General features: G+C 41.6%; 1 protein-coding gene across 24 annotated transcripts in view, besides 2 other annotated features; it reads right to left on the reverse strand.

The window, feature by feature from the left end:
* The window catches only part of XPO1 (exportin 1), a 60764-nt gene that overhangs the window by 20230 nt on the left and 13642 nt on the right, over positions 1 to 26892 (reverse strand). For 15 of the 24 annotated variants that reach the window (XM_011533097.2, XM_011533098.3, NM_003400.4 and 12 more), the window contains 6 exons: positions 24533 to 24605; positions 4171 to 4232; positions 3918 to 3962; positions 1635 to 1816; positions 787 to 835; positions 595 to 714 (listed from right to left, as the gene is read on the reverse strand). In XM_011533097.2, the coding sequence (XP_011531399.1) occupies positions 595 to 714; positions 787 to 835; positions 1635 to 1816; positions 3918 to 3962; positions 4171 to 4232; positions 24533 to 24605 (531 nt within the window). Of the gene's footprint in view, positions 1 to 594; positions 715 to 786; positions 836 to 1634; positions 1817 to 3917; positions 3963 to 4170; positions 4233 to 18263; positions 18390 to 24532; positions 24606 to 26892 lie in introns of those variants that run through there. The other 9 variants (XM_047445764.1, XM_047445771.1, XM_005264544.3 and 6 more) reach the window with 2 other exon arrangements.
* Positions 10562 to 10762: a silencer, noted in NCBI's record as "peak3717 fragment used in MPRA reporter construct". NCBI's record gives its function as "represses an SCP1 promoter by STARR-seq MPRAs in K562 erythroleukemia cells {active_cell/tissue: K562}" and the evidence as "EXISTENCE:reporter gene assay evidence [ECO:0000049][PMID:32103011]".
* Positions 18386 to 18886: an enhancer, noted in NCBI's record as "H3K4me1 hESC enhancer chr2:61743599-61744099 (GRCh37/hg19 assembly coordinates)". NCBI's record gives its function as "activates a minimal SCP1, AML or CMV promoter by ChIP-STARR-seq in primed H9 embryonic stem cells {active_cell/tissue: H9 hESC(primed)}" and the evidence as "EXISTENCE:reporter gene assay evidence [ECO:0000049][PMID:30033119]".

The following is a 26892-nucleotide window of genomic DNA, read 5'->3' on the forward strand; positions in this document are numbered from 1 at the left end:
TCTCTGGATAAACCACTGTAGAACTTTACTTATTTTGAGACAGGGTCTCGCTCTGTTGCCCAGGCTGGAGTGCAGTGGCACGATCTTGGCTCACTGCACCTTCTGCCTCCTGAGTTTGAGATTCTCCTGCCACAGCCTCCCGAGTAGCTGGGACTACAGGCATACACCACCACGCCTGGCTGTTTTGTATTTTTAGTAGAGACCGGTTTCACCAACTTGCCCAGGCTAAACCATTATAGAACTTAAGCCATAACATGGTATCAATTTTAAATTATCAGTTAAAAGATGAACTTTTCATTTTTCAGAAATAGCACTTGACTTACCTCACTGTAACTTACTCAAACTAAAAGCAATATAATCAAATCCATTGTTCAAAATGAATTCATAAAATTACATGGTCTAAGTGGCAGAATCAGATTTGAAACTCACTTTAAATAATTTACTAGGTGTGAATATGGGAAATTTCTCCTGAGCAGCGTCCTCGTGTTAGAAACAAGGTTGAATAAGGTTTAGAATGCAGAGATGAGAGCTTTACATGTGAAAAGAATATATGTGGCTATCCGGTGACAAATAACTGAAATGTATTCACTGTACCTTATAAATCAATGTGCTGATTAATTTGGTCTCAAAAATATATCCCAGGGGAATCCAGTTCAGAAATCTGAGCAATGTTTCCAAGGTTGCATGTACAAGTGGAGCATTTTGAGAATTTTCCTATAACAAAACACACTTGTAAATAATTGCTTTCCTATTATTGTTTTTAAAAATGAAATTAAAAACACTTACCATTACAAACTGACACAGTTGAAATATCTGTGAGAATTCATTGCACATGCTAAAAAAAAAAACACACAAAAATATCAGATTTAGAAGACACAGAAATAAGTATCAGTTATCTATAATACTAATAAAAATGATTAAAGCCCAGTACAGTGGCTCATGCCTGTAATCGCAGAACTTTGGGAGGCCATGGCAGAAGGATTGTTTGAGACCAGCCTGGGCAACCCAAGGGGAAAAAGATTTCCTAATGACTACAACAAATGTTTAAAACTTAATGGAAGTATAACTATAGTTTATACCAGTTGCTTACTATTAGAGGCAAATCTAGTTTTCTGTTTTGTTTTAAAAAGAACACTATTGTTAACAATTGGGGAACTGAAAAGAAGCAGAGACAATAACTGATTTGAGGCCAGGCTCTGTGGCATGCACCTGCAGTCACAGCTATTTGGGAAACTGAGGCAAGAAAATCACCTCAATCCAGGAGGTGGGGGTTGTGGTGAGCCAAGATTGCGCTGCTGCACTCCACCCCAGGCAATAGAGCAAGACTTGTCTCAAAATAAAATAAAATAACTAATACGTATGTTTGGACACAAATCATTTGCTTAGAACCTATTAAACTAGTTACCATACAAAACAATTCCTGAAGTGTGTCTTGAACAATTCATTTTTCAACCTTCAGAGGTAAATTATTAGGCCCCGTCTAGGACTATTTCTTAATCTGCAGTTGAAAACCACTACAAGCAATTTAACATATTACTGATCATAGTTCCTTAAAATATCTACAATTTACATCCAAACTGCTTGAAATTGTTTGAGAAATCACTTTAAAATTCTAAAACATAATTATTACTTGCCTGTCTTTTAAATGCTTAGATTTGACTTGGGTTATCTGTCCACTAGAGAAATCAAATACTTCTTCACTCAAGAGTTTAAGAATCACCATATTATTTTGACAGAGACTTTCGCTGGTCCTACTTGCTCCAACAATATCACTGATAAAAGTTGGCCAATGTTTGGGCCATTCTTGTTTCAGTATCTAAAACAAGACATGAAATGTTAATCGCACTTCATTTCTCAAAGGCAAATAAAACAAACTTCAAAGAAATTATGTAATGGATAAAGGCAGGAGTAAGGATAAATCACTTTTCATTTTCTCCTCCTTTATTAAAGGAAGAAATGTGCCACCCTCTTCACCCTACTGGGTAGAAAACAAAACACAAAGTCTTTTATCTTAATCACCGCAGGACCCTTTTCAATTATCCTAATGAAAGGTCCAATCCGTCTAATGGGTCTGTCTGTGTATTAGTATCTGCCTGATAGATATGTAGAAATTATTCTAGGAGGCCTTGCGCGGTTGCTCATGCCTGTAATCCCAGCACTTTGTGGGGAGCCAGGGTGGGCAGATCACTTGAGGCCAGGAGTCTGAGAACAGCCTGGCCAGGCTGGGCGTGGTAGCTCGTGCCTGTAATCCCAGCACTTTGGGAGGCCGAGGTAGGAGGATCACGAGGTCAGGAGTTCAAGACCAGCCTGGCCAACATGGTGAAACCCTGTCTCTACTAAAAATACAAAAATTAGCGAGGCATGGTGACGTGTGCCTGTGATCCCAGCTGCTCGGGAGGCTGAGGCAGGAGAATCTCTTGAACCTGGGAGGCAGAGGTTGCAGTGAGCCGAGACCAGGCCACTGCACTCAAGGCTGGGCAACAGGATGAGACTCCATCTCAAAAAAAAAAAAAAAAAAAAGAGCAGCCTGGCCAACATGGTGAAACCCCGTCTCTACTAAAAATACAAAAATTAGCCAGGGGTGGTGGCGCGGGCCAGTAGTCTCAGCTACTGGGGAGGCCAAGGCAGGAGAATTGCTTGAACCTGGGAGGTGGAGGTTTCAGTGAACTAAGACGGTGCCACTGCACTCCAGCATGGGCGACAGAGCGACACTCCATTTCAAACAAGAAAAGAAGAAATTATCCTAGGAGACTCAAGGATTTAATTAACCATTGGTGATAAAAAGTGACCGGTTAAGACAGCTTATTATTGGATGCAATTTGAGCCTTGAAATGTAGTAGGGTTTGGATATATGAATTTAAAAGAGAGGACGCACTGCAATCGGGGCCTGAATAAACTTTTAACCAAAAGCCTCATGAACTGCATTATATTTGTATGCAAGTCTGGACTATTTATGGCACACACAAGGGATTTTTCAGATTATAAAAATACATGTTAACCTTCTTTATATTCTCTCCTCTCTCTCACCACTCAGAGAAGGGCTAACAGAAAGCTCTAAAGTATAATAAAAGCTGGAGTTAATTACTGAATACACTAAAATTTTTGGAAGCTTGGATGTTTCTAAGTCTTATTTAAATAGAAATTACTGTTTTTTCCCCCACACATACCAGGGTTCTCTGGAAAAAATTTTATGATATTACTATAGAAAACAGATAAACATAAAAATTATAAATTTAGTCTACATAGACAGTTTAAGGACTAAGCATGGAAATCAATTAGAAGGACGAGGAAATCAAAGGACTCAGAGACATACATGCAAAGGAAATATGCACAGGCATATCAGAAAATTAAAAAACAATCCGGCCAGGTGCAGCGGCTCACACCTATAATCCCAGCACTTTGGGAGGTCGAGGTGGGTGGATCACCTGAGGTCAAGAGTTTGAGACCAGCCTGGCCAACATGGTGAAACCCTGTCTCTACTAAAAATACAAAAAATTAGCCAAACGTGGTGGTAAGCACCCGTAATTCCAGCCACTCAGGAGGCTGAGGCAGAACAATCGCTTGAACCCGGGTAGCAGAGGCTGCAGTGAGCCGAGATCATGCCACTGCACTCCAGCCTGGGCAACAGAGGGAGACTGTCTCCAAAAAAAAAAAAAAAAGAAAAGAAAAGATAAATAAGAATCCAACAGAGTCCAGTCCACACTGCAGCCACATAAATGATGGCTTTAACGTTATTTGATGATTACTGCCACAGCAAATTAACATTCAAGTACTAGACAGTAGGTTACCTATTATTATAAGAATACTATCACTACTTCTGCAAAATATTAGTATACTTTATTTCCTAAGTAGGTCGAACATTTTGTTCAAATAATAAGCATAATTCTTCTAAGGAAAACAGTTAAGTTAAAGCTTACCTGAACAAGGATCATATTTAATTTTCCGATATACACCTTTTCTTTCTAAGGAAAAGTAAAAGATTAAATGAGAGCCTGAGGTAAGTATAAATAAGAATATAACCAGACAATCCTAACAAATGATTACAGCTCTACTGTAAATGACTGACTGTGCATATGTGTGACTATGTGTCTTGACAGAATTAGGTTGTAGTCAGACTCAATATCTAAATGATTTTATGCTCTCCCAATAAGCTCCAAAATAAACTCTTACCTCTACACAAGTTGGGTCAGATGACGTCTTGATAATGAGGCCAACAACGTATTTTTTTATTCCTATTAAAAAAATTGCACGTAATAAAAAAATTGTTGAGCTCTTTTGTAGCATGCAAATAAATTTTGAGAACTAATTAATGTGGGAATGGAAAGACTAAGTAAAATCAGTTAATATACTCTAATCCTGTCACCAGTATTGGCATTTTAAAAAAATTCCGGCCCGGTGCGGTGGCTCACGCTTGTAATCCCAGCAATTCTTTGGGAGGCTGAGGTGGGTGGATCACCTGAGGCCAGGAATTCGAGACCAGCATGACCAACATGGTGAAACCCTGTCTCTACTAAAAATACAAAAATTAACTGGGCGTGGTGGCGGGTGCCTGTAATCCCAGCTACTCGGGAGGCTGAGGCAGGGGAATCACTTGAATCCGGGAGGTGGAGGTTGCAGTGAGCAGACATCACGTCATTGCACTCCAGCCTGGGCAACAGAGCAAGACTTAAAAAAAAAAAATCAATGAATTTAATGTGCTATTCATATTTTTAAAGATGGGATCTGGCATTGTTGCCCAGGTTGGTCTTAAACTCATAGACTCAAGTGATCCTCCTGCCTGGGCCTCCCAAAGTGCTGGAATTACAGGAACAAGCCAACAAGCCCAGCCTATAACAAACTGCTATTCCAGTTTCTTTCATCCTGATTTGGTTCCATGTGTTTCTTTTCTTTTTTTTTTTTTTTTTTGAGACGGAGTCCTGTTATGTCACACACACTGGAGTGCAGTGGCACAATCTTGGCTCCCTGCAACCTCTGCCTCCCAGGTTCAAGTGATTCTCCTGCCTCAGGCTCCCGAGTACAGGCATCAACCACCATGCCTGGCTAATTTTTGTATTTTCAATAAGAGACAAGGTTTCACCATGTTGGCCAGGCTGATCTTGAACTCCTGACCTCAAGTGATCCGCCCTCCTCGGCCTCCCAAAGTGCTGGGATTATAGGTGTGAGCTACTGCACCCGGCCTTTTCTTTCTTTTTTTTGGAGACAGTCTTGCTCTGTTGCCCAGGCTGGAGTGCAGAGGTGCAATCTTGGTTCACTGCAACCTCCGCCTCCACCTCCTGGGTTCAAGCAATTGTCCTGCCTCAGCATCCTGAGCAGCTGGGATTACAGGCACGCACCACCACATCCAGCTACTATTTTTTTTTTTTTGAGACAGAATCTCGCTCTGTCGCCCAGGCTGGAGTGCAGTGGCGCGATCTCGCCTCACTGCAAGCTCCACCTCCTGGGTTCACGCCATTCTCATGCCTCAGCCTCCCAAGTAGCTGGGACTACAGGCGCCCGCCACCATGCTCGGCTATTTTTTTGTATTTTTAGTAGAGATGGGGTTTCACCGTGTTAGCCAGGATGGTCTCGATCTCCTGACCTCGTGATCTGCCTGCCTCGGCCTCCCAAAGTGCTGGGATTACAGGCGTGAGCCACTGCGCCCAGCACACCCAGCTACTTTTTGTATTTTTATAGAGACATGTTTTCACCATGTTGGCTAGGCTGGTCTGAAACTCCTGACCTCAAGTAATCCACCTGCCTTGGCCTCCCAGACTGCTGGGATTATAGGCATGAGCCACCAGGCCTGGCCCAAACTTCTAACCCATAAAAATTTATTGATGGCTTGGGCACAGTGGCTTACTCCTGTAATCCCAGCACTTTGGAAGGATGAAGCCGGTGGATCGCTTGAGGCCTAGAGGCGGAGGCTGCAGTGAACGGAGATCATGCCACTGCACTCCAGCCTGGGCAACAGAGCGAACTCTTGTCTCAAAAATGAATTAATATACGTGTTATTATTTTCCACTATACATTAATTGCAACATTAAGCTCATATTAGAAATACAACATTAACTTCACACACACAATGTTAAAAAAAAGAGGGAAGTTTAGGAAAAAGTTTTCATTTCAAATGCTCTTTACTTATGGATCTCTTCATAGTAAAACCTACTCTTTAAACAGTTAAGACATGATACTCATATCCTTGATTTTAATTTGCATCATGTAGAATTTGCTGAGCATCTACTATAGGTTCCATTCTCCAAAATCACAGGGTTCAAGAGTGTTGCAGAATGTTAAATTCTGAGAACATTTTTAAAGGAAAAGTAGTGTGGTACACCTATATTGAAACACTAAAAGGATATGAAGTAGCAACCCTAATTGAACAAATTACTATTTCCTACTACGTAAAATTAACAATTACAAATACTCTCACATCTGTTCACTTTACGCTTTGTCACCAAATCAGTTAAATTATGAAGATTTTTCATTTTCATAGCGTTCAGATTTTTGGAAAAGCAGTTAAAGGTTGTAGAGCTGTATGTTCCAAGCCTCATCTGGCATATATAGAACTGAGTGAAATTTTCGTTGAAAAGAAAAATAAAAAATTTAGTCATTAGCATTAGCAGGAAACTGACAACCTGAAGGCAGCAAAATGCTTGTGAGATTGTATAACTATGAGCTAATGTATTAAATTCACTTTCAAACTATGGTTCTTCAATGGCACTTAATTATATAATTTTTATTAACTATGACAACACTAGCCATTTCCCACAATATCCCAAATAAAAAATTTCTGTAACAGTAATTATGGACTTTCCTAATTACGAAAAAAATATTACTAATGCAGTAAAGCAACGTAATACATGTAAGAGAAATCTAATGGTGTTAAGTGTCAATATGCATAGTAACATTTATGCTACAAATACATAAAATGAATAGGGAAATGGAAAATATATTTTTTACATTTTGTTTTAGAGGCAGGGTCTTGGTCTGTTGCCCACACTAGAATGCAGTGGTGCCATCACAGCTCACTGCAGCCTTGAACTTCTGGACTCAAGCGATCCTCCTGCCTCAGCTAGCTGACTAGCTGGGACCACAGGTGCTTAGCACCGTGCCTGGCTGATTTTTCCTGGTCTCATTGTTGCTGGGGCTGGCCTTGAACTCCAAACCTCAAGCAATCCTCCTGCCTTGGCCACATTTTATGTTGGGATTACAGGCCTGACCCACCATACCCAGCCTAATACTATTTTTAAAAACAAAAAGTAGGAAATCAATTTTCCTTTTAAATGAACACTAAATTATAAGAATTAACTTGGGTAATCTATGCAACATTCTCACTTTTTTTTTTTTTTTTTGAGATGGAGTCTTCCTCTGTCTTCCAGGCTGGAGTGCAGTGGTGTGATCTAGGCTCACTGACACGGCCGCCTCCTGGGTTCAAGTGATTCTCCTGCCTCAGCCTCCTGAGTACCCTGGACTACAAGTAGATGCCACTATGTCTGGCTACTTTTTTTGTATTTTTTTTTTGAGACAGAGCCTCACTGTACCCCAGATTGGTGTGCAGTGGCGTGATCTCAGCTCACTGCAACCTCTGCCTTCCAGGTTTAAGCGATTATCCTGCCTCAGCATCCCAAAGTGCTGAGATTACAGACGTGAGCCACCGCACCTGGCTTTTTTTTGTATTTTCACTAGAGATGGGGTTTCACCATTTTGGCCAGGCCATCTCGAACTCCTGACTTCAGGTGATCCGCCCACCTCGGCCTCCCGAAGTGCTGGGATTACATGAGCCACCGCGCCTGGCTGATTCTGACTCTTATACTGTATATATTTTACTTCAAACTACTTTCCATATGTCCTTAATGCTCACTACATCTAATCAAAAATTCCGATAGTACTAACCCTTTTGTTCCTTACAGATTATTATCAATAAAACCCCCATGGCCAGGTACAGTGGCCCTAGAAACTGTGATTGCCTAGTACAAGGATTATTTGATCAAGTACCATTGTTCATTCCCCAAATCCCTTCCTCAAGGCTTGCCAAATAAATAAATAAATAAATAAATGCAGGTCAATTAAGAATAGCATTCCAGCCGGACGGATGGCTCACGCCTGTAATCCCAACACTCTGGAAGGCCGAGGCAGGCAGATCACTTGAGGTCAGGAGTTCCAGACCAGCCTGGCCAACATGGTGAAACCCTGTCTCTAATAAAAATACAACAAAATTAGCCAGGCATGGTGGCACGCGCCTATAATCCCAGCTACTCAGGAGGCTGAGGCATGAGAATCATTTGAACCCAGGAAATGGACAATGCAGTGAGCTGAGATCGCGCCACTGCACTCAAGCCTGGGTGACAGAGCAAGACTCCGTCTCAAAAACAACAACAAAAAATTCCAACTGTAGGCCAGGAGCAGTGGCTCATGCCTGTAATCCCAGCTACCTGGGAAGCTGAGGCAGGAGAAACGCTTGAACCCAGGAGCCAGAGGTTGCTCTGAGCCAAGATCGTGCCACTGCACTCCAGTCTGGGCGACAGAGCAAGATTCCGTCTCAAAAAAAAAAAAAAAAATCCAATGTTAAACTGCACTTAAAAATAAATTAGTACACTCAAGCCTGGGCGACAGAGTGAGACTCCACCTCAAATAAATAAATAAATAAATAAATAAATAATTAGCAATGATATAATACATATCTAGGTAGAAAATCGAAATGTTTCTAAGTAGCAGAAACAGCTCAGCTTGAAATTTGACAGAAAAGGACCCATTACTGGTCTCTGACTTTTTGTTCTAAATAAATTAGTGGGTCTCAGTTGCAAAACAGACATTTACATAACACATTTCAATTCCTTTAAACTGGCTTTCTAAGCTCTTCCTTAAAAAGCTTGATACAAAAGGTGAAGAAGGCCGGGCGCGGTGGCTCACACCTGTAATCCCAGCACTTTGGGAGGCCGAGACGGGCAGATCATCTGAGGTCAAGAGTTCAAGACCAGCCTGGCCAACGTGGTGAAACCTCGTCTCTACTAAAAATGCAAAAAATAAAAACAAAAAAATTTAGCTGGGCGTGGTGGCATGCGCCTGTAGTCCCAGCTACTTGGGGAGACTGAGGCAGGAGAATCACTTGAACCCAAGATGCAGTTGCAGTGAGCCAAGATTGTGCCACTGCACTCCAGCTTGGGTGACAGCGGGAGACTCCATCTCAAAAAAAAAAAAAAAAGAGTGAAGAAAACGATACAAAAATCAAAAACAAGTCACGCACGATGGCTCACACCTGTAATCCTGGAGCTTTGGAAGGCTGACATGGGAGGAGGGTTTGAGGAAACGAGCTTGAGACCAGCTTGGGCAACACAGCAAGGCCCCATTTCCACAAAAAATAAAAAAATTAGCTAGGCACAGTCGTTCGTGCCTATACTCCTAGCTACTTGGGCTGTGGCAGAATTCTACCCATCACCCAGGAGACTGAAGTTACAACGAGCTATGATTGTGTCACTGCACTTCAGCCTGGGCAACAGAGGGGATCTCTGTCTCTTTAAAAAAAAAAATCAAACAAGGCAGCCGGGCACAGTGGCTCAAGCCTGTAATCCCAGTACTTTGGGAGGCTGAGGTGGGCAGATCACGTGAGGCCAGGAGTTCGAGACCAGCCTGGCCAACATGGCAAAACCTTGTCTCTGCTAAAAATACAAAAATTAGCTCAGCATGGTGGCTTGTGCCTGCAGTCCCAGCTACTCGGGAGGCTGAGGCAGGAGAAGTGCTTAAACCTGGGAGGTGGAGAAAGAGAAGAGAAAGATGCATTCCTAGTGAGCTGAAATAGTGCCACTGCACTCCAGCCTGAGTGACAGATCAAGGCTCCATATCATTAATTAATTAATTCCAAAGAAAGGTTCTCATTGAAGTTGTGTGTCTTTGATAAGTCCTGACGTTGCCAACAGGATCTTCAATGGATTCAGATACTGACTTAGCACTGGTACAATCTAGTGGCCCAAGACCCTATTCTTCTCAATATAAATGAAAAAAATTCACATCCAAAGTTGGTAGGTCAGGTTGGGCATGGTGGCTCACACCTGTAATCCCAGCACTTTGGGAGGCCAAGGCACGTGGATCACCTGAGGCGGAATTCAAGACCAGCCTGGCCAACATAGTGAAACTCTATCTCTACTGCGGGAGGCTCCATCTCAAAAAAATAAAAATAAACAACAAAGTCGGTGGGTCAAATGCTCTAATTGTTTCTTGGAAAGCCATATAAAATTTATTCAAAATATAATACACACCCGTAGAAATGCCTAACCACTTACTGAAAGGCAGCTTATGACATGTAAATGTTCCAAATGCAAGGGTTAATGCATACATCTTTAATATTCCAGCTCTATTGCTCAATATAAAGAAAAATGTGTCTAACAGTCCCATTTCAAATAAAAACACAGCAATATCAAATAGTCAATATAAACTTGCAACTGCATAGTATCAACTTCAGCAAGCTAAAAAGATGAGATTTAAATAAACCTCAAGCTAACTTAGAAGGTACACACCATCTGCCAAATTCTTTACACAGCAATAATAATCTTATCCCTCAGAAACACCTTGTAAACACTGGATACTCAATGATAGCGTAAAAAGCACGCATTATTGAACCTGATTTTTATATGAACAGAATTCACTAAAACTCTTTAAAATATTGAGAACAAATTAATTCAAATGGTGTCATATTCCCATAGAAGCAACTCAATCTTCAAGTCATAGAGTTGTACATCAGCATCTTACATAGTCAGTGATAGTCATGCAGTAAACATTTTCAACCAAATAAGGATCTGACTTATTAAGAGAAAGATGCAGTCCTAGAAAAATCCTTAAAATGTGGGAGTCCATGTTACATATTCCAATTCCTCTCCTCCCCAGCAGCTAATTTTCACGTACAGTTTAAGTACCCCAAATCTGAAATCTGAAACACTCCAATATCTGCAAGATTGACTGACTGATTGAGATGGAGTTTCATTCTTGTGGCCCAGGCTGGAGTGCAATGGTGCTATCTCCGCTCACTGCAACCTCCACCTCCCGAGTTCAAGCGATTCTCCTGCCTCAGCCTCCCAGAGTAGCTGGGATTACAGGTGCCCGTCACCACGCCCAGCTGATTTTTTTTTTTTTTTAGGTAAAGACAAGGTTTCACTATGTTGGCCAGGCTGTTCTCCAACTCCTGACCTCAGGCAACCCACCTGCCTCAGCCTCCCAAAGTGCTGGGATTACAGGCATGAGCCACCACGCCCAACCCCAAATCTGCAAGTTTTAAAGCACCAACATGGCACTAAAAGGAAATGCTCAGGTTGGGTGAGATAGCTCACGCCTGTAATCCCAACACAAGGCGGGCGGCTCACCTGAGGTTTGGAGTTTGAGACCAGCCTGACCAACATGAAGAAACCCTGTCTCTACTAAAACTACAAAATTAGCCAGGCATGGTGCCGCATGACTGTAATCCCAACTACACAGGAGGATGAGGCAGGAGAATCACTTCAACCCAGGAGGCAGAGGTTGCAGTGAGTCGAGATCATGCCGTCGCACTCCAGCCTGGGCAACAAGAGCGAAACTCTGTCTCAAAAAAAAGGAAAAAAAAAGGAAATGCTCATTGGGCTATTTCAGTTTTGGAATGCTTAACTCGTGAGCATAATGCAAATATTCCAAAATCTGAAAAAGCCCAAAGTCTGGAACACTTCTCATCCCAAGCATTTCCAGCAAGAGGCAGTCAACCTGCACCACAGAAAATGGTTTAAGGCTTTTGATACACTATTAAAAATGTAAATTACAAATAGGAAAAAGGCAAGTTCAATCTAGTTTCGAATCAATTTCAGTTTAAACATTTATTTATTCCATAAGCTAAAAAAATGTAAATTTGGTACATTTCTACATCAATGCTATATATAATTGAAATGTTTATTACAAGTATCAGTCCATGAAAACATCAAAATTGGCTGGATGTGGTGGCTCAAGCCTGTAATCCTAGCGCTGTGGGAGGCCGAGGTGGGTGGATCACTTGAGGCCAGGAGTTTGAGACCAGCCAGGCCAACATGGTGAAACCTGTCTATTAAAATACAAAAAAATAGCCAGGCATGGTGGTGCACACCTGTAGTACCAGCTACTCTGGAGGCTGAGGCACAAGAATCGCTTCAACCCGGAAGGCAGAGGTTGCAGTGAGCCAAGATTGTACTACTGCAATCCAAGCAGCCTGGGCGACAATGTGAGACTATCTCAAAACAAAACAAAAAAACACACAAAATCGATCTTTTGAAAGATGGTCAATAAAATAGTGATCTGCTCTCTTTACTTACACAAGGGTATACAGGATATTGTTACTACTGTTCTCTCAATGAAATATTAATAAGAACAATGCCACATGGAAGACAAACAGCTAACAATAATTCTAAAGCAGGAGTTAAGTTAGGGTTCCCACAGATAATCTATAATTTAACCTGCTTTGATAATGTTAAGAGAAATGGATCTATATGCACATCCGCCATTCTTAAATGGATGTTTATGGCCTCAAACACACTGGACAAAAAATCTAAAAGATTAAAATTTTATTAAAATTGACAGGAGCATCACTCATGATAGCCAAAAGGTGAAAGCAGGTCGAGCACAGTAGCTCTTGACTGTAATCTAAACACTTTGGGAGGCTGAGGCAGAGGATCGCTTGAGCCCAGGAGTTCAGGACCAGCCTAGGCAACATAGCGAGACCCCATCTCTACAAAAAATAGAAACAGTGAGCCAGGTATGATTCATGCGCACGTAGTCCCAGTTATGCAGGAGACTGACGCAGGAGGATTGCTAGAGCCCCGGAAGTTGAGGCTAGAGTTAAGCCATGATCCCGCCACTGCACTCCAGCTTGGGCGACAGCGTGAGACCTTATCTCAAAAAAAAAAAAAAAAAAAAAAGTTACATGGATGTAAGCTAGGGATCAAACACTGTTAGGTATCAAGTATAGGCCTTTCATGGAGGCCTGTAATCAAAATACTTGGAATGGGGCAAATTGTTACATTAACCAGAAATGGAAATACTATTCCTATCAATCATATACAATGTGCCTGAAAATACTGCTTTCTTTTCTTTATTTTTTAGACAGAGTTTCGTTCTTGTTGCCCAGGCTGGAATGCAATGGCGCAATCTCGGCTCACTGCAACCTCCACCTCCCAGGTTTAAGCAATTCTCCGGCCTCAGCCTTCAGAGTAGCAGGGATTACAGGAATGCGCCACCACGCCCAGCTAATTTTTTTGTTATTTTTAGTAGAGATGGGGTTTCACCATGTTGGTCAGGCTGATCTCGAACTCCCAACCTCAGGTGATCTGCCTGCCTCAGCCTCCCAAAGTCCTGGGATTACAGGCAAGAGCCACTGTGCCCAGCCTATCTTTTCAGATATTATCACTCTGTTGCCCAGGCTGGAGTGCAGTGGTGCAATCAATCAGGGCTCGACCTCCTGCCTGGACTCAAATGATTCTCCCGCCTCAGCCTCCTGAGTGGCTGAAACTACAGGGGCACTCGACCATACACTGCTAGTTTTCTGTATTTTTAGTAGAGAGAAGTCTAACTATCTTGTCCTGGCTGATCTCAAATTTCTGGGCTCAAGAGAGCCTCCCAAACTGCTGGGATTGCAGGCCTCAATCACTGTGCCTGGCCTGCCTTGTTTTTTTTAGAAATGAAAAACATAATTTATAGCTTACAGATATTTCTTTTTCTTTTCTTTTTTTTCTTTTTGAGACGGAGCCTTGCTCTGTCGCCCAGGCTGGAATGCAGTGGCATGATCACAGCTCACTGCAGCCTCCACCTCCCTGGTCCAAGCAACTCCCCTGCTGCAACCTACCGAGTAGCTGGGATTCTGGGATTACAGGCACACGCCACCATGCCCGGCTAATTTTTTTTGTATTTTTAGTAGAGACGGGGTTTCACCATGTTGGCCAGACTGGTCTCGAACTCCTGACCTCAGACAATTGCCTGCCTAGGCCTCCCAAAGTGCTGGGATTACAGGCGTGAGACATCGCACCAGGCATTAAGTATATTTCTTACATTATCCTACCATGGTTTAAATACTGACAAAAAACGATTTGGAATGCCTGTCAACTCTCTGAGATTAGACTGATAATTTTTGCTCCCATCTCTAACATTGTATTCTGTGGGATTTCTCATGAATTTGTTTTAGATGCAAGGACTTAAGTCTAATATTTACATTTTCTTTTCAAAATCATAAATGAAACAATCACCTCTGAGTAACACTATCAACTTATTAGAAACTTACATTATCATCTAGTTCTGAAAACTTCCCAAGGAAATTAGGAAATAGGGTTTCTGCTCTGAATTCCATAGTCAACGAACTATGAAAAGACTAAACACCACACATACAGGGAAAAGCAGCAGAAATGTTAAATTCCAAGAGCTTTTGCAAAATTGAGGTGTTTTCTCACAACAGGAAGGGAAAGTGAGTTTGAACTGGGCTTTGACTAGCTGGATTAAACTACACGTTCAAGAGATAAGTGAACAATGGCAATTCTCTATATTAGCAAGAAATAATCAGGAATTGACATTAAAGATGTTCATTCTCTCCAAATGCATCCACAGATCCAAGGCAATCTCAATAAAAATTTCAGGACAGCTTTTGTTGAAATTTGCCAGATTTCACTCTAAAATTTTTATGGAACAGCAAAAAACCAACAATAGCCAAACCTTTTAGAAACAAAGTTGGGGAGCTGGGTGCGGTAGCTCACACATAATCCCAGCACTTTGGGAGGCTGAGACTGGCGGATCACTTGAGGTCTGGAGTTCCAGACCAGCCTGGCCAACATGGGGCAACCCCATCTCTACTAAAAATACAAAAATTAGCCGGGTGTGGTGGTGTGCACCTGTAATCTGGCAGGTGGAGTTTGCAGTGAGCCAAGATCGCGCCACTGTACTCTGGCCAGGAGACAGAGCATGACTCTGTCTCAAATAAATATATAAACCTTGACCCTTACCTCACCTCATATACAAAAATTGAGTAAAATGAATCACATGATGCTTTTTTCAGACAGGGTCTTTGTCGCCCAGGCTGGAGTGCAGTGGCATGATCTCGGCTCACTGCAACCTCCACCTCCCGAACTCAACTCAAGCATTCCTCCCACCTCAGCTTCCTGGCAGTCGGGATTACAGGTGCATGCCACCACGCCTGGCTAATTTGTTTGTATTGTTTCCGCCTGCCTTGGCCTCCCAGTGCTGGGATTACAATTGTGAGCTACTGTGCCCAGCCAAATCACAGATCTTAATGCAAAAGCTAAAACTATAAAGGTTCTATAAGAAAACGTACAGAATATCTTTTTTTTTTTTTTTTTTTTGAGAGAGAGTCTTGCTCTGTCACCCAGGCTGGAGGGCAGTGGTGTGATCTAGGCTTACTGCAGTCTCTGCCTCCCCAGTTCAAGCAATTCACCAACACACCCAGCTAATTTTTGTATCTTTAGTAGACATGCGGTTTCACCCTGTTGACCAGGCTCGTCTCGAACTGCTGACCTCAAGAGATCTGCCTGCCTCGGCCTCCCAAATTGCTGGAATTACAGGCGTGAGCCACTGTGCCCAGCCAAAAACTTACAGAAAATCTTAAGTGACCTTTGCATGACAAAGATTTCTTGAATACAACACAAAAAACATCAACTATATAAAGAAAAAAAAATCAACACTGATTTTAATCAAAATCTGAAATTTTTGCTCTGCAAAAGACACCATTACAAAAATTAAACAGGAAGCCACAGACAAAACACTTGCAAAATATACAGTTAACAAAATACTCCTGACTAGAATACAAAGAGCCCTTAGATCTCAATAAGGGAATAGCCCAATAAAAACTGGGCAAAATTGGCGGGGCATGGTGGGCTTACACGCCTGTAATCCTAGCGCTTTGGGAGGCTGAGGCAGGTGGATCACGAGGTCAGGAGATAGAGACCAGCGTGGCTAACATGGTGAAACCCCATCTCTACTACTAAAAATACGAAAAAGTAGCAGGGCGTGGTGGTGCATACCTGTAATCCCAGCTACTCAGGAGACTGAGACAGGAGAATCGCTTGAACCCAGGAGGCAGAGGTTGCAGTGAGCTGAGATTGTGCCACCACACTCCAGCTGGGGCAATAGAGCCAGGCTCCGTCTCAAAAAAAAAAAAAACTGAGCAAAATTTTTGAACAGACATTTCACCAAAAACATACTGGCATGGCAAAGAACATGTAAGGATATGTGATGGAACACAGAACAACACTACTCCACATGGAAATTAAGGCTGGGCGTGGTGGCTCATGCCTGTAATCCCAGCACTTTGGGAGGCTGAGGTGGGCTGATTACCAGGTCAGGAGTTCGAGACCATCCTGGCCAACATGGTGAAAGCTCGTCTCTACTAAAAATACAAAATAATTAGCTGGGTGTGGTGGCACATGCCTGTAGTCTCAGCTACTCAGGAGGCTGAGGCAGGAGAATCGCTTGAACCCGGGAAACAGAGGTTGCAGTCAGCCGAGATCAGGCCACTGCACTCCAGCCTGGGCGACAGAGCAAGACTCTGTCTTTAAAAAAAAAAAAAAAAAAGAAAGAAATTAAAACCACCATGAGATGCTATTGTATATGCACTACAATAGCCAAACTAAAAACATTGTCTATACCAAATGTCAGCCGAGATGTGAAACATACTTATACACTGCTGGTGAGACTGACATGACCACTTTGGAATACAGTTGGATGCTTAAACATACACCAAAACATCCATATGGGCTGGGCGCAGTGGCTTATGAGTATAATCTCAGCACTGTGAGAGGCCGAAGTGGACAGATCACCTGAGGTCGGGAGTTTGAGACCAGCCAGGCCAATATGGCGAAACTCTATTACAAAAACAAAAATTATGCTGGTGTGGTGGTGCATGCTTGTAATCCCACCTACTTGGGAGGCTGAGGCACAAGAATCGCTTGAACCCGAGAGCCAGAGGTTGCAATGAGCCAAGATCATGACACTGCACTCCAGCCTGGGCGACAGAGTAGTGTGACTGTCTTAAAAAAAAAAAAAAAAAAATCCACACAATCCAGCCATTCCACTCTTACCAAGCAAGTGACAACAAGCACATGTGAAGAGGGGCAGTGAAGGTGAAAGTAATCGGATAGAGGCAGATCTTGATTATACAGAGGTAGTTTCACAGGAGCATGCACAAGATAAAACTTATCCAACTGTACACTTTAAACCTAATAAATAAGGCAAATACAAAAATTCTCAAAGGCCAATATCAATTAAAGGAAACATGTTAAATATCTTCAATACTACAGGAGATCTTCAGCAGAAGTGACCCTATTAGTTCCGTTTCTGAAACTTTGAGACTTTGTGGTGAAAAAATTGTAAAGGACACAGAAAAGTAGGTGTTAGTGAGCTCACTTAGGAAGGTATTTCAGAAGGTTCAGGATATTTTGAGACTGGTATATGGCAATTTGGTGAAATGCAGATATTTCATCAAAAACAGTTGGTAACCCACTACTTACTCATACTCAGCATATGTAAGCACAGGGCTTCCTATACATTAGCTCTAATGCCCAAAACCTTGCAACACAAACTGAAATATGAGGTCAAATAATGTAGCCAGTATTACGGTGCCAATAAATATACCACGTGTCTCACGTCAAAGGAGAGCACTAAATAAAATTTTATGAGTGGATCAGCTTTGGTCTGCCAACTAAAGACATGAAACTGTACAACTCAGAAATTTTAGTGGCCCAACTACTTATAAAATCCAACCTGGCCGGGCACGGTGGCTCACGCCTGTAATCCCAGCACTTTGGGAGGCCGAGGAGGGTGGATCACGAGGTCAGGAGATCGAGACCATCCTGGCTAACACGGTGAAACCCCATCTCTACTAAAAAAAAAAAAAAAAACCACACACACACACACACACACACACACACACACACAAAATTAGCCAGACGTGGTAGCAGGCACCTGTAGTCCCAGCTACTCAGGAGGCTGAGGCAGAAGAATGGTGTGAACCCAGGAGGCTGAGCATCCAGTGACCCAAGATCTCGCCACTACACTCCAGCCTGGGCGACAGAGCGAAACTCCGTCGCAAAATTAAAAAAAAACAAAACAAAACAAAACCAACCTTGCATGGTGGCACATGCCTGTAATCCCAGCTACTCGGGAGGCTGAGGCAGGAGAATAGCTTGAACCCAGGAGGCGGAGGCTGCAGTGAGTGGAGATTGAGCCACTGCACTCCAGCCTGGGCAACAACAGCGAAACTCCGCCTCGAAAAAACCAAACCAAACAAAAAAAAAAAATCAAACCTTGTAATTACGATCTTTCCACTTTGGATTACTTTTTTCATAAATTCGCTTCTTCTCTATTCAATGTGAGCCAAGTGTGGGTTTTTTTTTGAGACTGAGTTTCGCTCTTGGTGCCCAGGCCGTAGTGCAATGGCGCGATCTCAGCTCACCGCGACCTCTGCCTCCCGGGTTCAAGCGATTCTCCTGCCTCAGCCTCCCCAATAGCTGGGATTACAGGCATGCGCCACCACGCCTGGCTAATTTTGTATTTGTAGTAGAGATGGGGTTTCTCCATGTTGGTCAGGCTGGTCTCGAACTCCGGACCTCAGGTGATCTGCCCGCCTCAGCCTCCCAAAGTGCTGGGATTACAGGCATGAGCCACCATGCCCCGCCTGTGAGTAAGTTTTTATCAATCAATGAAATGATCTATAAGCCATACACATTAACTGATTAAAACAATCCCTTGGTTTAAATAAAAAGTACAGAAATACCTTTATATAGCATCATCTTTCCCCCCAACAGGAACAAAGGAGGCTTCCTCTTTTTTTTTATTTGAATTATCTAAATGCCATTTTTAATTAATTAATTAATTATTTTTTAATTTCAGAGTTTCACTCTTGTTGCCCAGGCTGGAGTGCAGTCGTGCTGTCTTGGCTCACTGTAAGCTCCACCTCCCAGGTTCAACCGATTCTCTTGCCTCAGCCTCTCAATTAGCTGGGATTAAAGGCATCTGCCACCACACTCAGCTAATTTTGGTATTTTTAGTAGAGACCGGGTTTCACCACACTGGCCAGGCTAGTCTCGAACTGACCTCAGGTGATCTGCCCACCTCAGCCTCCCAAAGTGCTGGGATTACAGGTGTAAGCCACCACACCCAGCCTAAATGCCATTTTTAAAAAGGGATGGGGAATTATCTGAATCATGACTCTGATAAAGAATCAACACCACTGGCAGTCCTAGAGGACCTTTAAGACTTCAGTGATGGCTAGGAGTGGTGATATACCTGTAACCCCAGCACTTTGGGATGCTGAGGTTGGAGCATCACTTGAGGCCAGGAGTTCAAGACAAGCCTGGACAACATAGGCAAACTGTGTCTCTATCAAAATTAGAAAAACTTAGCTGGGTGTGGTGGCACATGCCTGTAGTCCTAGCTATTTTGGCAGGCTAAGGCGTGGTAACTGCCTGAGCTCAGGAGTTTAAGGCTGCAGTGTGCTATGATTGTGCCACTGTACTCCAGCATGGGTGATACAGTGAGATCTTGTCTCAAAACAAATGAATAAATAAAAGACTACCATGAATAGCAACCACTCTTTATTAGGGAATTCTTCCATTTGACATATTAAAATTTCCCAGCCAGGCTTGGTAGCAATTTGGGACGGCAAAGTAGGAAGACTGCTTTAAACCCAGGAGTTTAAAACCAGCCTGGGCTTCACAGTGAGACTCTATCTCTAAAAAAAAAAATTTTTTTTAATTAGCTGGGCATGGTGGTGCGGACCTACAGTGCTAGCTACTCTCAAGGCTGAGGCAAGAGGGCAGGATGCAATGGCTCACGCCTATAATCCCAGCACTCTGGGAGGGTGAGGATCACCTGAAGTCAGGAGTTCGAGACCAGCCTGGTCAACATGGCGAAACCCTGTCCTTACTAAAACAAATACAAAAATTAGCCAGGCATGGTGGTGTGCATCTGTAATCCCAGCTACTTGGGAGACTGACACATGAGAATCACTTGAGCCCAGGAGGCAGAGGGTGCAGTGAGCCAAGACTGCGCCACTGCACTCCAGCCTGGGTGACAGAGAGGGACTCTGTCTCACAAAAAAAAAAGAAAAAAAGCCTGAGGCAAGAGGATCACTGGAGCCCAGGAGTTCCAGGCTGCAGTGAACCATGATTGCACCACTGTACTCCAGCCTGAGCAACAGAGTGAAACCCTACATCTTTAAAAAACAAAGAAAAAGCCAGGCGCGGTGGTTCGCACCTGTAATCCCAGCACTTTGGGAGGCCGAGGCAGGCGGATGACGAGGTCAGGAGATCGAGACCATCCTGGCTAACACGGTGAAACCCCGTCTCTACTAAAAAAAAAAACAAAAAACAAAAAACAAAACACACACACACACACACACACACACACACACACACACACACACACAAAGTTAGCCGGGCGTGGTGGCAGGCGCCTGCAGTCCCAGATACTCAGGAGGCTGAGGCAGGAGAATGGTGTGAAACCGGGAGGCAGAGCTTGCACTGAGCCGAGATCACGCCACTGCACTCCAGCCTGGGCAACAGAGCGAGACTCTGTCTTAAACAAAAACAAACACAAAAACAGACCAAAAAAAAACCAAAGAAAAAAAGACACTCTGAGCCCCAATATCAAGGAGCTTATAGTTTGAAGGATGGGGAATAAAGTGACTAAAACAGCCAAGTGTAATGTGGGGTGTGAGGGACAAAACACATAAAACACAAACAAATAGACACACACTTACGGCCTAAAGCTAAATGAAAATCCAGAGAAATGTAATAAATTTTATATAACAAATCTCAACTTATTTAAATGTTTTATTATCTCGCCATTTCTCTTGCTATAAAAATATCTTTTGGAAAATTAAATGTTCTTTTAAACATCCTTACTTTCTAATTATGTCTATCTTTTGCTCTTTTTTTTTGAGATGAAGTCTCGCTCTGTTGGAGTGCAATGGCGTGATCTCAGCTCACTGCAACCTCCGCCTCCCGGGTTCAAGCAATTCTCTTGCCTCAGCCTCCTGAGTAGCTGGGATTACAGGCATGTGCCACCACGCCCGGCTAATTTTTGTATTTTTAGTAGAGATAGGGTTTCTCCATGTTGGTAAGACTGGTCTCAAACTCCTGACCTCGTTATCTGCCTGCCTTGGCCTCCCAAAGTGCTGGGATTACAGGCGTGAGCCACCGTGCTGAGCCTATCTTTTGCTCTTTAAAATTTTATTCTCCTGTGACCCACTGGTACAGGATACAGTAACGTATAACACAGCAAGAGACATCTAACCCACTCAAGAATCATGAGATTTTCCTGACAGTATTTATACAAGAGGCCTAAATTGAAAATGTCATTAATTTAAAAGAACATGTTAGCCAGGCAGTGGCTCATGCCTGTAATCTCAACAGGCATGGAGGCCGAGGCGGGAGGACCAAAAGGTCAGGAAATCGAGACCTTCCTGGCTAACATAGTGAAACCATCTCTACTAAAAAAAAAAAAAAAAAATTAGCTGGGTGTGGTGGCGGGTGCCTGTAGTCCCAGCTACTCAGGAGGCTGAGACAGGAGAATGGCATGAACCCAGGAGGTGGAGCTTGCAGTGAGCCAAGACTGCGCCACTGCACTCCAGCCTGGGCAACAGAGCAAGACTCCGTCTCAAAAAAAAAAAAAAAAAAAAAAAAACACCACGTAAAAATTAACATGCTGTGGACAAGAACCTAAAAGCAGATAAAACAAATTCTACATCAGAAAAAAAATGCAGGAATCTAATTTTGGCATACTCTTATGCAGTGAAACCTTTCCTTCCTTTAAAATATACCAGGCATTTCTTTCCAATTATGTGAATGAAACTTAGCTAAAGGGCCGGACTTAGACATCATTCTGTTCTTTTAGCTTGTGAAGCACTCATTATATACACCTAATTTGCTGATTTATGATTCCTCTTTTACATGTGTTTTGTCTTCCCAACTATAACACTGTGACATACAGCACTTTGATGTACATGTATATTTTTATAACCTTAATATTTAGTAGTAATCGGTACAAAGGAAACGCACAATATGCACCCCAGGTGAACAAATATATATGCTATGGTAGTTGGACAAAGGGTATAGCTACAGCAAAAAGCAAAGCGAATACCTTTAAAAGACAGGACACTTACAGAAAAAGGAAATAAAATGTTTTAAATTAATTTATGTAATTTCCAATACCAAAGTTACTTAAAGATGAAGGAAAATTAATGTTCAGAAGTTCTAGTGTATTTTGTGAAATAAATCTTTAGGTTAGAGAAGCCTCCCAGTTAAAATTAAAAAGGTAATCATGTTGACTAAGTATGGTGGCTCATGCTTACAATCCCAGCACTCTGGCAGGCCAAGGTGGGAGGATTGCTCAAGCCCAGCAGCCAGCAGCATGGGCAACACAGCGAGACACCATCCCTACAAAACATTAAAAAAAAAAAAAATTTAGTAGGGCATGGTGGGGCATGCCTATGTTCCCAGCTACTCGGGAGGCTGAGGTGGGAGGATTGCTTGACCGCAGCTATTTGAAGCTGCAGTGATGGTGCCAATGCACTCCAGCCTGAGGAACAGAGTGAGAATCTGTCTCAACAAAGAAGAAAGAAAGAAACAAAAATTTTTTAAATTAATTTTGTCTGTAACAAATGTAACTACAGTGTTGATAAACTAGTATAATCATATCTATTTTCAACCTGGAAAACATCTTCCAGAACCATCAAATGTGATAAAAAACAGAGATGCAGATTTAAGAACAAAAGGAGGATTTAAAATTATACAACAGTAAAATGGGACAGAAGTAAATCACCTTTTCTTGGTACGGCAGACCATGGCCAAAATTAAATCTGGGGCTCATAACACATGAGTAAAACAATAGTAGTAAAGAAACAAGGAATGACTACACTAAAGATCCCTGAAGAATAAAGTATGAAGGACCTACTTGGACCACATAGTCAAATTGTGCTTATTAATTTCTCAGTCCATCACAGAACGTGATCTAAAATAGTTTCAAACCATAATAAAACATTTAAAGAAATGAGAACCTCTTTTAGGGCACATTATTTGCTCCTGCACTATCACTCTTAATCTATGATTTATGATGTATTAAAGATATTGCCACTGAATATACTTAATATTCTTAAAAAAAGACACTGGCATTAAAATCTCATCACATTCAACTCTAAATGTGCTCAAACTTTGTCAAGGTTTAAGTCAGATTAGCTAAGTAAATCCATGTCACTATTCTACCATAATGATGATAAGAGAATGCAGGTGAAGGACAATACTTAAAAGACAAATAATCAAAGAAATTAGACATATTTTAAATGAAAATACTACTAGAAGTATCATGTGCCCCATAATAAAGTCAAGAAAAAAATTTCTATTTTTCAGAGATAAATGAAATATAGTAGGTAAAAAGGCAGTGTATCATAACTGAAATTAGCTAAATCAAAGAATCCCAAGAAACTAATGTTGCCTCAGGTTTCTCAAAATATGACTACATTCCTCAAGGTAGCACAGACAGAAAAGTTAAATTACTCATTAACAGGTATCACTACACCTTCATTTTCTGATCTTTCTTCATTTCAGAAGCCAACCTCTTCCAAGGCATTCCCAGAACCACAAAAGGCAAAACAGCTTTGTGATCTTTAGTACTTGGCTTTTCCATTCCCGAGTTAACCTTACATATGGTTTTTTTTGTTGTTGTTGTTCTTGTTTTTTGAGACGGAGTTTCGCTCGTTGCCCAGGCTAGAGTACAGTGGCACAATGATGGCTCACTGCAGTCTCAACCTCTTGGCTCAAGGGATCCTCCTACCTCACCCCACTGATACCCCTGTCCCCGCCGCCACCTGCACCAAAATACCTGGCTAATTTTTAAATTTTTTGTAAACACAGGGTCTCGCTATGTTACCCAGGATGGTCTCAAACTTCTGGCCTTAAATGACCCTCCCACTTCAGCCTCACGAAGTCCTGGGATTACAGGCTTGAGCCACTGTGCCCGGCCCATATTTTATTTATATATATGTTTTTTTGGAGATGGGGTCTCACTCTTGTCACCCAGGCTGAAGTGCAGTGGCAGGATCATGGCTCACTGCAGTCTCGACCTTTTGAGCTCAAGCAATGCTCCCACATAGCTGGGACCACAGACATGAACCACCATACCCAGCTAATTTTTTAAATTTTTGTCCAGATGAGGTCTTGCTATACTGCCTAGGCTGGTATAGAACTCCCAGACTCAAGCGATCTACTTGCCTCGGCCTCCTGAAGTGTTAGGATTACAGGCGTGGGCCACTGTGCCATAGCCCATATTTTTAACTAGAATATTTATTGTCAGAGTTTTCAACAGTCCAGTCTCCTCTTTCTCCCAAAAGATAACCTGTAAGTGGCCTTCCTGTACCCACCAATACAAACAGACCTGTTTGCTTCATGATAAAAGCAATAAGCTCCATTAGAGCAAAATATACTAAAGATTCATTACATGCCCCCTCAAACAGTCAACTACAATAAAAATGCCAGGAAAAACAAAACTCTGAATTTATAATTCTTTATTTTCCTACCTTCGCACTGGTTCCTTGGAAGAATCTTCCACCTTGTTTTTATCACATTTTCCAAAATTTGTAGTCCATAGTACTGAAAATTGGAGAATAGAAGCATGTGAATATATTGCTTATAGGACTGGCAACTCTCAGGATTCACAAATGGACAGACATTCACACATTTACATCTAAAGTTTCAAAAACATTATGCTACCAAGTTTAATTACACATATTAAACAAGTATCTATTCACCCATATACTGAGTTTTCATGCATTTTCCTCATTTTATTGTTTGCTACTCTATATAACGTCCTGCTGTTTATACATGCTCACACCAGGAGGAAGAACCAAATAAAAAGCCCTTTAGCAGCCAAATAGGCTTATCTGTCGAAGGAAAAGTAGCAGCCAGATATGAATTCACAGCATAAATGACTGCTCATAGGCTCACGTACTTTAACACGAACAGGCTCCTAAGAATTTAGCAGCTTGGATGCTATCAAGCTTCCTACCATCCTCTAGGAGTTATAAGCTTTTGGCCAAATATTAAAGTATTGTCACAGATACTTTCTATAGAAAGTGTTTACAAGCATCACTGGTGTGTTACTTAAGGAGCAGCAAGACAACCCATGGGTTTATTTTATATTTTAACCCCACCCTTATAGTTGCTATTTCTACTAATTTAAAGATAAACTTTTGTGCACAGTCAAAATAATCACAAACGCATGTTGCAATCTGTATCTACCTTTCAGGTATTTCTTCCTAAATACTGAAAGTTATAACTAAAAGTATAAAAAATTAAAAAACAGAGATACCACTTTCAAGCCATTTTGTCCCTCCTGCTGATTACTCACTCTAAATAGTCAACAATATTTATAATAATTTATAAAGCCCCAGGAGTTACTACCTGAATTACTATGACCAATTAGTGTGGATAGGCAGGAGGAAGAAAAGGGACAAAACCGTTGTGGTACATTTCAACTGAGAGAATTAGGGAAGAATCAGCTATAATATCTGAAAGGTAAGCTCATTCATATATAGACATATAACCTCAGATTGCAAGTTTTGGCTGAGAATAAGAGTTCATCTTTAAAATGGTTAGTCATTACACAATAAAATAGGAGCATTAGTATTTCAACCAAAGGGATCATGTGAATGCTCATTTTATCCAAAGCACAATATAGACTGTCCCAAACTACATTGTGCTCAAACAGTGAATGTTTTTGCTGTTTTCTTTCATTTTAACATTTCACACTCTTCAAGAAAATTTTGCCATTTCAACTAAAGTACTACATTTGCAGAACATTCCTTAAAAACTTTCAAAATAAAAACAAGGCCAAAGCAAAATTCTAAAATTACAAATTTGATGCTATTAAAATGTTTCATAATCAGCAGTAAATAGTGATGCTTTCTAACCTGTTCACTTTTAAAAACATATCTATTTATTATGTCTAGGTCTGAGAAATATGTAAAAAAAAGAGAGTTGTCCAAATGCCTGAAGTTCTTAATTAGCTTTTAAAAACATACTACCCTAAGCATTTTCTTTAATTTTATAGGCACAAAATCAGATTGTCAAGACTCAGTAAGTCAAAGCAATGCACTGCTTACAATATATCCTCTTGCCAAAAATCAATTAAAAAGCCTTTAAAACACTAAGAAACAAAACCCACCATAAATATAGTTACAAATAAAAATCTTAAAGATAACTTCATCTTATTTAACCAAACTTTTTTACATTTTTAATGGAAAGACACTGTCCTTTCTTTTTTATTTACTTCTTCCTATTTGATACTGTTACCTAAAATTACTATTTACTAACCTGTATTTTCTACAACTGTATAAAGGTAGCATAAGCTTGATGAAGATACAATTCATATTTCATCTTTCTGCCAAGGGGGTTGAAGCAGGGAGCCCAATAAATGCTTTGCCCAGGTTAGGTCAAAGGAATACATCTGTTACTATAATATCCTAAAATCCAATCTCTCCCAGACATAAAGACTTTGCCTATGAAACTAAAACAAAAAAAATTTACATTCCTTTGAAAAAATGTTATTTGGGGCCAGGCAAAGTGGCCCTCGCCTGTAATCCCAACATTTTGGGGAGGCCAAGGCGGGAGGGCCAGGAGTTCAAGATCAGCCTGAGCAACACAGGGAGACCCCACTTCTATAAAAAAATTGGTAAGTTAGCGAGGCATGGTGACACGCACCTGTAGCCCTAGCTACTCAGAAAGTTGAGGCAGAAATGTCACTTAAGCCCAGGAGTTTGAGGTTACAGTGAGCTATAATCACACCACTGCACTCCAGCCTGGGCAACAGAGGTCCTGTCTCTTCAAAGAATTTTTTTTCTTTTTTTTTTTAGTATTTTTGCTCAAAAATCTGAAGTGA

Source organism: Homo sapiens, chromosome 2 (genome assembly GCF_000001405.40).
Source record: "Homo sapiens chromosome 2, GRCh38.p14 Primary Assembly".
Lineage (NCBI taxonomy): Eukaryota > Metazoa > Chordata > Mammalia > Primates > Hominidae > Homo > Homo sapiens.